General features: G+C 41.2%; 1 non-coding gene and 1 pseudogene across 1 annotated transcript, besides 1 other annotated feature; both read right to left on the reverse strand.

Annotated features, from left to right (window-relative positions):
- Positions 1-4,841: 4,841 nt before the first annotated feature.
- On the reverse strand, positions 4,842-4,923 carry TRS-AGA4-1 (tRNA-Ser (anticodon AGA) 4-1). The gene has a single exon. It is a non-coding gene; the product is annotated as a tRNA-Ser (tRNA).
- Positions 9,309-9,508: a silencer, noted in NCBI's record as "fragment chr6:27525659-27525858 (GRCh37/hg19 assembly coordinates)". NCBI's record gives its function as "represses an EF-1alpha promoter that drives an FKBP-Casp9 reporter gene in an ReSE screen in HepG2 liver carcinoma cells {active_cell/tissue: HepG2}" and the evidence as "EXISTENCE:reporter gene assay evidence [ECO:0000049][PMID:32094911]".
- CD83P1 (CD83 molecule pseudogene 1) lies at positions 12,060-13,181 on the reverse strand (annotated as a pseudogene).

Raw genomic sequence — 13,229 nt, forward strand, 5'->3', positions numbered from 1 at the left:
CCCTGGTCTCGGAGAGGTTATGATGATACAATTTTGGGAGACTATAGACAGCCATTTCTAGGTCAGGTGGAGTCAGCTAGGTTAAGAACGAGGCTCTTAGCCGGGCGTGTTGGTGGGAGCCTGTAGTCCCAGCTACTCGGAAGGCTGAGGCAGGGGAATGGCGTGAATCCAAGAGGCGGAGCTTGCAGTGAGCTGAGATCGCGCCACTGCACTCCAGCCTGGGCGACATAGCGAGACTCAGTCTCAAAAAAAAAAAAAAAAAAAAAAAAAAAGAACGAGGCTCATTTTAAAGCAGGGTTTGATTGGAACCTTTACTGCAACTTCTACTCAGCATCATCCAGAGTTTCTCATAAGATAAATTGTATTTGAATTATATTTTCATAATTTGTTTTGAGGAAGGAAACATGTAAAAGTATGTCTAAGTAACAGTATTTATTTAAAGTCCCAGTGGATATTCTAAAGCCTGTAAAAATTGAACTCAAGATTTTTTTCTCCTAGGCTTTTCTTATTGCAGTTGCTCATTTGGAGGTAGTGTCCGGGATTTCCAAATTATAGCTGTTACATAAGTCATTCTCCATCCAGAATTTCTGGCTTCTAGGACATAAAGAGATGAAGAGGCCGGGCACGGTGGCTCACGCCTGTAATCCCAATACTTTGGGAGGCCGAGGCGGGCGGATCACGAGGTCAGGAATTCGAGACCAGCCTGACCAAAATGGTGAAACCCCGTCTCTACTAAAAACACAAAAATTAGCCGGGCGTGCTGGCGCACGCCTGTAATCCCAGCTACTCAGGAGGCTGAGACAGGAGAATCCCTTGAATCCAGGAGGCGGAGGTTGCAGTGAGCCGAGATAGTGTCACTGCACTCCAACCTGGGCAAAATCGCGCCGCTGCACTCCAGCCTGGGCAACAGAGCGAGACTCAATCTCAAAAAAAAAAAAAAGAGATGGAGAAAAAAAAAATCCAGGAGTTCATGGAAGTAAAAGGAGGAGCAGATAAAACCACAATTATAGTGTAATATTTTAGTGTAATATGCCTCTCTGAAAAACTAATAAAAGCATAAATGGAAAATAACTGTAAAGCAAAATAATGCAGTTCATATAACATACATATATAGAGAACAGTGCACATATCGACTTCAGGATTCAAACTTTTTTCAAACATACATCGAATTATCTCAAATTTGACATTTTACCGGACCATAAAGCAATGCTCCAAAAACATAACAGGGTTAGATACATGCTATTATTTCACAGCAATAAAACTGTGTCAGAAATCAAAACATAAAAATTAAAAATTGTATTTATTTGCAAAATGATAAAAACACTTCTAAATAATTCATGGTTTAAAGAAAAAATATCCATCAAAATTAGGACCTATTTTGAAATAAATGATAATAAAAATAGTACATATCAAAATATGTAGTATGCAGCTAGAAATGCACTAAGAAATCCTTAAATACTATAGTATATAAATAAAATAAGATTAGTGATCTAAGCATGTATTACATGAAATTAGTGACCAATCAATAATTTACTCCCAAGAGAATTTTAGAGAAAGAAATAATGAGGCAAAGAGCAGATATTAATGCATTATTAATGCAAACAACAGACATTAATACGAAATAGAGATGATCAACAACGTCAATAAAGTGGCCATCTTTTTATCTTTTTTGATTTTTATTGTGATAAAATACACAAAACATAAAAGTTATAACTTTAACCGTTTGTAAGTGTACAGTTAAGTGGCATTAAGTATGTTGCATTATTGTGCAGCCATCCCCACCATCTATCTCCAGAAATTTTTACATCTTCCCTATACCTGTTAACCAATAAGTCCCCATTTCCCCTGCATTTTTAGTAACAATAATATCAGGTTTTTGGAAAGAGATTGATAAACTCATTAAAAAATAATATGGAAGTGAAAAGGACTAAAGTAGCCTAACTCATCTTGAAAAAGGAAAGCAAAGTTAGCAGACTTACTTTACCAAACAGAAAGATAGAAAGGTAACATAATTTTTAAAAACATGACATTGCCCAAAGATAGACAATACCACGACGTAGAATCCAGTCTTTGAATAAATGGTGAATATCTAAAAGAAAAAAAAAGTGATCAGATAATTATCTACAAGGAAAAAAATTAAATTTACCTCTTTCACATTATCCTCTAAGCCATTTCCAGATTGACTGTAGATCTGAATATAAAAGTAAGCAAACAAAGCTTGTAGAATACAACATCGGGGAATATCTTTATGACTTTGACCCAAGGAAATATTTTCTAGACTTGATGCTAAAAGCGTTAGTCATAAAGGGCAATCCTTCCCGTCTAGATCTTCAAGTCCTTCAGTTCTGAGAATTTTTCTTATATTTCTTGGTAAAATTATCCTCCATTTTTCCTTTGTCTTGCTGGAACTCCCAGTAATGAGATGATATTGAATCTCTGGAATGGGTTGTTCAATTTTCTTTCCACTACTATTTTCCATCTTTGATGTTTTCCTACTGTTTTTGAAGTAGTTCTAAACTGTAACTTCCAAATTTTTCATTAAATGTTTTTCTTTTCCCCTGCTACTTTATTCTTTATTTCTAGGAGATCTTGTTTCATTATCATAAAAAGATAGTACCCCAAGTTACTATTTCCAGGTGAGATGAAGTGTGTTTTACATTTTTTCTCCTATCAAACACAACTATAAGTTATGGGCAGAATGCATGAAATAACTATTTGAAGACTCTGATAATAAAAGAGTAAACAAAAGAGTGTAAGGATGGAAAAAGAACACCAGAATTATCCTATATGTTCTCCCCAAATTGAGTATAGATGTAATGCAATTGCTATCAAAATTCCAGTAGAATTTTTTGGAGATAGAGAAAAGCTGATTCTAAACTTTATATGGATAGATGAAAGAATTAGAATAGCTAAATCAATTTTGAAAAAATGCAGTGAATAATCACATTACCTGATTTTCAGATTTAATACCAACTTCAGTAATCAAGATAGTAAAGTATTGGCAGAAATATAAACATGTAGATCAATTGATCAGAACAGAGATTCCAGAAATAAATTTACACAAATATGGCGAATTGATTTTTGACAAAGGTGCAAATAAAATAAATGAAGAAATTAAAATTGTTCAACAAATAATATTGGGACAATGGGCTATCCATATGCAAAGGAAAGAAAGAAAGGAGAGAAAAGGAGAGAAAGAAAGGAAGGAAAAAAAGTAAGGAAGGCGTGGAAGAAAGAAGTGAAGGAAAAGTGGAAGGAAGAAAGAAAAGATATCCTAACATAAATCTAACAATTTATACAAAAATTAACTAAAAAATTGATCATATATGCAAATGTAAACATAAAACTATAAAACTGTTAAAAGAAAACATAACAGAATATCCACATGACCTTGAGTTGGGTGATGAGTTCTTAGATATGGCACTTTCCAAAAAAGAAAAAAAAATACATTGGACTTAATCAACTTTTAACACATTTGCTCTGCAAAAGAAACTGTTAAGACATTGAAAAAAATAAAGACTGGCAGAAAATATTTGTAAGTCATGTATCTGATAGAGAAATTTTATCTAGAATATATAAAGAATCCTTAAAACTCAGCAATAAGAAAACAACCCAATAAAAATTGGGTAAAGGCATAAACACTTTACCAAACAGAGTATAAGGATGGCAAATAAGCACACAAAAAATGTTTGACATCATTAGCCATTATGAAATGCAACTTTTTTTTTCACAATTGCCCCAAACTGGAAACAAATGTCACACAACACAAATGTCCTTCAATGAGTGGATAAACTGTGGTACATCCGTGCAATGGAATTCTATTCAAGAGCAAAAAGGAATGAAATTTTGATATTTGTAACAACTTGGGAAAATCTTCATTTATTTCTTTTTTTTGAGACGGTGTCTTGCTCTGTAGCCCAGGTTGGAGTGCAGCAGCGCGATTTAGGCTCACTGCAAGCTCCGCCTCCCGGGTTCGCGCCATTTTCCTGGCTCAGCCTTCCGAGTAGCTGGGACTACAGGCGCCCGCCACCACGCCCGGCTAATTTTTTGTATTTTTAGTAGAGACAGGGTTTCATCGTGTTAGCCAGGATGGTCTCGATCTCCTGACCTCGTGATCCGTCCTCCTCGGCCTCCCAAGGTGCTGGGATTACAGGCGTGAGCCACCGCTCCCAGCCAACTTGGGTAAATCTTAAGGCATTATGCTAAGCAAAAGAAGCTGATCTCAAAAAGTTACATACTGTATGATTCCATTTCTACATTTTCCAAAAGGCCAAAATATACAAATGGAAAGAGTATTTATGATTGTCAGCTGCTATGTGTGGGATTAGGATGAGACTATAAAGGAACAGTGCTAGGGAGGCTTATGGACTGATAGAACTGGTGTGTATCCTGATATGGTAATGGGTATGTGTATATACATGTAAGTGCTTTTTAAAAGTCAATTTTACTTAATACTTTTTAAAAATACAGATAGCTCCCATTTGTGGCATAGACTGTACCTTCTCCATGGTTTCTGTGAGAAACACTTTCACCGAGCTCTTGAAAGAGTTTATTTTGAGCAGGGTTTGGAGGAGAGAAAACCCGGTGAGACCCTGGAGCACTGCACGTTGCCAGTGAAGGAGGATTACTGTGGTTACTAGCTTATTTACTTCGGGCAGCTCAGCGACATTTTGACAGCAAACACATACACCGCCAGGGCAGAATTAGAGAGGGGCTAACGATGATATAAGTGCTCCTGTTCGTTCCGCTTTACATTAACCAGAGGGGTGAAAGATGATACAAGTTCTCCTGTATTTTCCGTATTATATTAACCTGACCCCATTTTAGGGTAAAATTTCAAACGTAGTCGGCAGGATTCGAACCTGCGCGGGGAGACCCCAATGGGTTTCTAGTCCATCACCTTAACCACTCGGCCACGACTACAGACATGACAGCATGACTACAGACATGACAGCACAACTACAGACATGACAGAACTTCGGAAGCACTAAGATAAGTGTATCCACCACAGGAGCATCTTTATTTTGAACAAACCGGGTCAATTCAGAAACCAGCTCCCCTGGGGGCAAGTTTGGCTCTGTGCTGGTTGCTGGAGTCCTCGAAACTGAAAACAAATTTACTCACCACGGAGGTGGAGCCCGGCCTTAATCCTAGTTTTAAACCTGGGACCTTTTGCTAGACGATGGGACCTTCTGCTAGAACTTCCAGGAGACCAACCTCTCCTCACTGAATGACACTGTTGCTTAATGGATTTCAGAAAAGGAAATGCTCCCTCAGCTAAGCTGAGGGAGAGAAAAACGATACAGAAAACCTCTGGATCTTCTCACTTGGTGTCCCTAAGCCCCTAAATGTAAACCTAAAATATTTATCTCATTGTGTTTGGGAAATTGTTTTGCAAATGACAACGCGCTCTCACTTTCCAGACGGGTTAAGAAGAAATTTGCAAGTAAAGCCGGCCCGTGAGTTCTTTTCCTGGAAAATCCTAGATCCTAACAGACCCTAGTTACTTTCTAAAAAATTGAACACTTGGTTTAATTTTCTGAACAATGCAATGGTTGATCAAACCAATTTAACCAATAAAGCACATGTCCAGTTCTCCTTTTTACGTTTGTAACTCGCCAGTTCCTTTAGCAGAATGTCCAGATGCTCTATAGAAATGAAATGAAATGAAAAAAACAAAAACAAAAAACCAAAAAACAAAGAACTCTAAATGTGGATGCCAGATCCCAAGATGCATAGATGTACAGATCCCACTTTATGGTCAGAAAAATGTTAATCGACAAAATGAATTTGATGCATCTTGAGAAAGCTAATTGTTTGGTTTTAATATATTATATTTAACCGGAAGTAACAAAGTGCCTTTTACATAGCATTCTATTTAATTCATATATCACGGAGAAAGTTTTTTTCCAGAAAACTGAATCTTTTTCAAAATCAAATAATTTCCTTTTATCTGTACCTAGAGAAAGTTAATTATGTCATGACTGATAAACAGAATAAATGTGGTCATGGAAAGTAAGAATGCATCACACTTACTTTCTATATATAGATGTTTATATCGAACAAGAGCATTACTAATGTGTTTTTTATTGGCCATCTTTGGAAAACGTGCAGTCATTTGCTTTAAAAGATTGTATAATGTATTTTAAATCTTTATTTTCAGCTGGGCGCGGTGGCTCACACCTGTAATCCCAGCACTTTGGGAGGCCGAGGCGGATAGATCACCTGAGGTTAGGAGTTCCAGACCAGCCTGACCAATATGATGAAACCCTGTCTCTACTAAAAATACAAAAATTAGCTGGGCGTGGTGGCATATGCCTGTAATCCCAGCTACTCCGGAGGCTGAGACAGGAGGATTACTTGAACTCGGGAGGCGGAGATTGCAGTGAGCCGAGACTGAGCCATTGCACTCCAGCCACTTCAGCCTGGGCAACTAGAGTAAAATTCCTTCTCAAAAATAAATACATAAATAAATATTTATTTATTTTCTGCCTGTCCCTTTAGGACTATTTTTGGAGCAGGCCTCTGTCATGAGGGTTTCTGAAAAATTATTTGAAAGTCGCAATCTTTTGTTATGAATAAAAAGTTTATAAGAATTTTTAATCAAAATATATATGCAAAATAATGTTTAAAGTTCTATTAAATATTCTCAGGTGAGAAGGACAAAGAAGGCTTCATGAATTCTACAAACCTCTAAATGCTCATTAGAGGTAACATGCTCATTAGAGGAATTATTTCAGTAACTAACAAATTCAAAAAGCATATGATTGTGAAAGTTACTGAACAAGACAGTTGATCAAACCAAGGACTACTTAAGGAAAACATTCAACGACATCAAAGTCCTTGGATCTACATTTCGAGGGTTCATCTTTCTTGTGTCAATATGTGAAATAAATGTCTCTCTTTCTTTCTCTCTCTTTTTCTTTTCTTTCTTTTTTGAGACGGAATTTAGCTCTTGTTGCCCAGGCTGGAGTGCAATGGCATGATCTCGGCTCACCGCAACCTCCGTCTCCCGGGTTTAAGCGATTCTCCTGCCTCAGCCTCCGGAGTAGCTGAGATTACAGCCATGCGCCACCACGCCCCGCTAATTTTGTATTTTTAGTAGAGACAGGGTTTCTCTATGTTGATCAGGCTGGTCGCGAACTCCCAACTTCAGGTGATCCGCCCGCCTGGGCCTCCCAAATTGTTCGGATTAGAGGCGTGAGCCACCGCGCCCGGTCTTAATCTTAATTAATTAGAAAAATTTGCTGGGCGCGGTGGCTCACGCCTGTAATCCCACCATTGTGGGAGGCTGAGGTGGGCGAATCACCTGAGGACGGGAGTTCGAGAACAGCCTGACCAACAAGGAGAAACCCCATCTCTACTAAAAATACAAAAAAAATTACCTGGGCGTGGTAGCGCACGCCTGTAATCCCAGCTACTCGGGAGACTGAGGGAGGAGAATCGTTTAAACCCGCGAGGCGGACGGAGGTTGCGGTGAGCCGAGATCGTGCCACTGCACTCCAGCCTGGGCAACAAGAGCGAAACTCCTTCTAAAAAAAAAAAAAAGAAAGAAAGAAAGAAAAAGAAATCTTGCGTAATGATAGCTAACTCACACTTGGGGGTGTGGAGGGGAGGAGAAAGAACACTCATAATCCCACCTCCCCGAAACCAGCAATAGTAGCACATTGGTCTCTTTTCCTCCTCTCCCCATATTTTGAAGTCATATAGAATATAAAGTGTGCCAACATCCTCCAGCCAAAAATGTTCAGAAATACACCTGTAGTTGAATAAATTAGGTTTATTATTCCTTACAGCAAGCAAGAACACACACCATAAGGAAGCGTAGGGCACCTCGGTAAGATTATTATAAAGTATTAATACTTACAGGATCTACATATCTTGTGTTAGGTGATTTTAGGGGAAGTTTTAAAGAAGCAGAGATTGTTCTTGATTAGATGCTGTCTGAAAGCAGTGGGGAATTCTGTAATTAGATAGCTTAACAGATCTTATCTAGAAGGAGTAAAAACAGAGCTAGACTAGCTTCTTGGAAAACCTGTTCTCTGGGACTGTGCGTTTTCTTTTGGCTCCTATGTCCTCCCTCCCTTGGAAAGAGACTTCTTTGGAACACCCATCCCTCCTTCACTAAGGAGCAGAGCGTGAACTTTTTCTGAAGGAGAGACAGTCACAGAATCCTCCTTTTTCAGTTAGGCTCCTCTGGTCAGCTCTTCACAGACTCTGCCGGCTTTCCTGTTCAAATGCACTTTTGTTTTGGGGTTTTTTGGTCTGTTTGTTTTTTGAGACGAAGTCTCACTCTGTCGTCCAGTCTGGAGTGTGCAGTGGCGCGATCTCGGCTCACTGCAACTTCCATCTCCCGGGTTCAAGTGATTCTCGTGCCTCAGCCTCCTGAGTAGCTGGAATCACAGGCGCGCACCACCACGCCGAGCTAATGTTTTTGTATTTTTAGTGGAGATGGGGTTTCACCATGTTGGCCAGACTGGTCTCAAACTCCTGACCTCAAGTTATCCGCCCCCCTCGGCCTCCCACAGAGCTTTGATTACAGGCGTGAGCCACCACGCCCGGCCTCAACTGCACTTTTGAATACATAGTAATCCTTTGAGCTGGGAAGAAGCAGCCCAGGTTAATGCCATCAGAGTCATAGTCCCAAAGTTGATGAGAAATGAGAGTCAAACCACACTTAATTGGAAAGAAATTGGATTTTTAAAAATCTACAAGCAAAAGTGAATCCACTAAAAATTAGATAGCTCTAACTTATTTTCCTTTTTTTTTTGAAACGGAGTCTCGCGAGTCTCGCTCTGTTGCCAGGTTGGAGTGCACTGGCGATCTCGGCTCACTGAACCTCCGCCTCCTGGGTTCAAGCGATTCTTGTGCCTCAGCCTCCCTATTAGTGCCGGCCACCAAGCCCGGCTAATTTTTGTATTTTCAATAGAGACTGGGTTTCACCATGTTGGCCAGGATGGTCTCGATCTCCTGACCTCGTGATCCTCCCTCCTCGGCCTCCCAAAGTGTTGAGATTACAGGCGTGAGCCACCACGCCTGGCCTCAAATTTCATGTTAGTAAGAATTATGTCAAATGCCTCCCTTGTGCAGCGTAGAGACCACAGAGGGAAATTCTTTGATGTAATCTGTACCCTCCCTACCTCTTCCTTCACGTCAGAGAATGAGAGCCTTTCTGTGGGCTTCATAAAAGACTCAGTAAAAAGAAAAAGAGATTCGGAGGCTTATTGGCTGGTTTTCAATTCTGAAGAAGGAAGGGTGGTTCCTCTCCAAGGAACTAAGGTCTCCGTGGACAGTGTGGTCCGTGGAAGAAACCAAGTTCTGAGAAAGCGATGCCGGCCAGGAGGGGAGAGGGGAGTGGGAAGCGAGTGTGCCCCGAAACCCGTGATAAGTAACCTGGGCTTCGAGGCTCTAGGGATGCAAGAACTTTTCCCCCCAGCTCAATCTTCAGCTCCGGTTTAAAACTCCTTTCTGCGTTGCGTTTTTGCAAACAGTTCAGAGCTCGCATTTTGCTTTGTTTTGCTTCCTGCAAATTTCAGAATTAATTACAGTATTTTCTTTTCTGGATGCGATATAAAGTTGAGATGTCATCGGGCCAGAGAAGTTCCTCACTGTCTATAGTTAACTAGCGTATAGGGACGAATGAATGACCTTAAAGCTCTTAACCATTGGATTCGATCTCGCCGTGGAGGCATGGATTCCAACCCTCCAGTGACGGTCGTATTTGTTTCTGTCACATTGCACCAAGCCATCTTTGGGTCGCAGATCACCTGAGATTTCTTCTCTTCCCTCCACAATTCTCCTCCCGTTTCTCAGACCACAAATGGTCGCCAGTTTCACTTCGCCAAACTTGGATTCTCCCGCGCTTGAGCGTCACTTTCAACGACTTCATTCCTTTCTGTCCAGGACGACAAGAAGCCACTTAATTGACCGCCCCTAACGGAGCAAGTACCGCTGGGCCACACCGTCTCACTGAAAGGCGGAAAAGCAAAGAAAATGGCGTTTTTACATCTCAGTCCAAACAGCCGCTAAAAGAAAATTCCCAAGTTACAAAACCTGGGAGAGTTCTAAAGCCACCTGGACGCAGTAAATTTGTGCCACAATGTCATCGTTTGCTCTGTGAGCTTGTTGACAAAACTCACGAAACTCCTTCTTAAACATAAACAAAAACACAGATATGAAAAAGAACGAACAAGAAGGGCCTATCTTTCGAGAGAAAACTCTGGACTGGAGCTAGAGGAAAGGGACTTAGGGGGCTCGGCTATGTATTAAAAATACCATCCATTGTCAAATGTTGGAAGTTCCTCAGATTCCATTCTGTGAAATCAACTGTCCCAAGCATGGAGTTGGAGAGACCAGATTAAATGAGATATGGATTTTGATCCTTAGTCAAACTATTCCTTTTTTCCCCCCATGTATACATTTAATAACATGAAAGCTATGAAAGATGCAAAAACACAAAATGAACTTAGTATCCCTTTTACACCCTAATATTAGTGGGGGCAACGAACACACAACTAAAGCAATAAAATGTCTTTGGAAAACAGGAGGGGAAGGGCCCAAGCTTGATCTGAGAAACCCAGCAATTGCTAAAATAGCAGTGCAGCATTTACTGAAGTCTCTTCTGCCAGTGGCTCCCATATGTCCATACCTTGGAATGCTTTTGGCTGGTGCTTCAAGAACAGACCATGGACCTAGCCTCCTAGCTTCCCCCAAAGGAATTCCTGCAGAAGACTATGGGAAAAGCTTCTTTGTGATCTTCTTTGTTTGGAATGATGGAAAACATGAGAAGTGAAAGGTATCCTCTCATCCCCAGAACACCACCATAATAGCGAGGATAATGACTCAATAGAGTTTCTTTTTTTAATTGTATTTTTATGTTTTTCTAATAACCTTAACATGTACATGTTTTTTTTCTAATAAACTTAAGATGGAAGTTTCAAATTTGCATAATGCTTCATACTTTTTCAAAGCATTTTCACGTTATTTTATTTTTTATTTATTTGTTTGAGATGGAGTCTGGCTCTGTCACCCAAGATGGAGTGCAGTGGCGCCATCTCCGCTCACTGCAACCTCCGCCTCCCAGGTTCAAGCGATTCTCCTGCCTCAGCCTCCCAAGTAGCTGGAACTATAGGCATGCGCCACCATGCCCGGCTTATTTTTGTATTTTTAAGTAGAGATTGGGTTTCGCCATGTTGGCCAGGCTGGTCTCAAACTCCTGACCTCAGGTGATCCGCTCGCCTCAGCCTCCCAAAGTGCTGGGATTACACGCATGAGCCACAGCGCCTGGCCTCATGTATGGTATTTTAATCAGCCCATGCAATAGCCTTTTGACTTACAACAAAGAAAGCAGAAACCATAAGGAACTTGCCTTAGATCATACAGCCAGTTAGTGGGGCGAGCATCCACAGTGCATGGTTGGCCCAGCATTTCCAGCCCATCACTAAATACCTCTCTATCCTGTTGTCACCTTCTCGGACTTCTCACTCTCCATATCCAGGCTGCTTGTCAGTTCACAACGCAATCTAACTATATAGTTTTCAAAAGGAGAAAAATACAAATCCTTCTTTGACAAGTACATAAAGATGCAAAAATAATTGTGGCACTCTTCTTTATTGCTTGTTTATGGATGTCTTTCCCAGATGAAAACACCCTGCTGGGGAATAATCCTGCCGGAATAATTCCCCAGTCCTGCTGGGGAATAATCCATTGAACTGTTATTTCTTTGTACACAGAATATTCCTTAGTAATAGCAGGACCCTCACACCAGGAAATTATTTGCTAAATATTTCCCACTGTCTCACAGCTTGATCTGTCAATTTTTCCCAGACATAAAACATCTGGGCTGGTATGATAAAACACAGTACATTAAAAAAGATGTTCCCCAGATGTAGAAGAGGACAGCTGTCCTCAGGATCTGTCACGGGGCCAGCTGGGGGCTTTCGTATTTCCCCAAGACCCTTTTCCAGCTGCATCTCAGCATAGCTTTTATATGACTGGATAGCTGCATAAATCGCTAAAAAGATAGCCATGGAGAAATAGTGGTGACTCCAAGCTATATGGTCATGTGATGATTTTCAAGGCCTGCTCATAGAAAAATGGGATGGGATGATCCACTTCCCAGTGTTTTCACTCAGATGAAGGACTTCACAGGACTTCACACTTCTTCAGTGTAGAACTCATTCTCTTCTCCAGTGTGACAGACACACCACTGAGTCCTCAGCTTTAGGAAAAAAAATCCGTAGAAATCCTACTTATACAAGTTCTGTCTTGCAAAGAGTTACTGGCCCCAAATGTTTATTCGGGGAGGTAACTGGGAGAAAAGCTCATTCCATGCCGGGTTTAGAAAAATCTGAGTAAATACTCCGTAGTCATGCAAACTTACAAGTGAAAATGATGAGTGTTAAGTAGAAAACAACCAGAGACAACAACAGCAAAATCCCAACTCTGCGTTTCTTTTTCTTTTTTCTTTCTTTCTTTTCTTTTCTTTTCTTTCTTTTTTTTTTTTTTTTGAGACAGAGTCTCGCTCTATCACCCAGGTTGGGGGTGCAGTGGTGCAGTCTCGGCTCACTGAAACCTCTGCCTCCCTGGTTCAAGCGAATCTCCTGCCTCAGCCTCCTGAGCAGCTGGGTCTGCAGGCGCGCACCACCATGCCCGGCTAATTTTTGTATTTTCAGTAGAGATGGAGTTTCACCATGTTGGGCAGGCTGGTCTCGAACCCCTGACCTAGTGATCCGCCCACCTCGGCCTCCCAAAGTGCTGGGATTACAGGCGTGAGCCACCGTGCCCGGCTCCAGCTTTGTATTTCTTAAAATTCTCTACGGTGTTTAGGACATCCTGTCACTCTCAGGATCACCTTGCCACTTAGGTTTCTCTGCCCTTCCGGTGCCTGCAGAGTGCACTTGTATGTCCACGGGTTGCAGCTGGTAGTGTTTCGGATCTTCAGGGAATAGGATCTTTCACTGGGACCCCAGAAGAGCCATTTTGGCCCTTCTGATGATAGCGCTGTCCTCTGAGGCGCAGATCTTCCTGGGGTGCCTGCACCCTCTCTTCACCGCCCTCCAATAGCTTGACCTAGGAGACCATGTAGGGCACCTGCGGTTCCGAGGGGACGGTGCAGGGCAAGTCCACATCCTCAGAGCAAGCCACCTGCACCTCCCATGTTGCGGGCGCCAGGCTATAGGGTTTACTGGTTTATTATAAAGGATATCGCAAAGGATACAAATGAAGAG

Source organism: Homo sapiens, chromosome 6 (genome assembly GCF_000001405.40).
Source record: "Homo sapiens chromosome 6, GRCh38.p14 Primary Assembly".
NCBI lineage: Eukaryota > Metazoa > Chordata > Mammalia > Primates > Hominidae > Homo > Homo sapiens.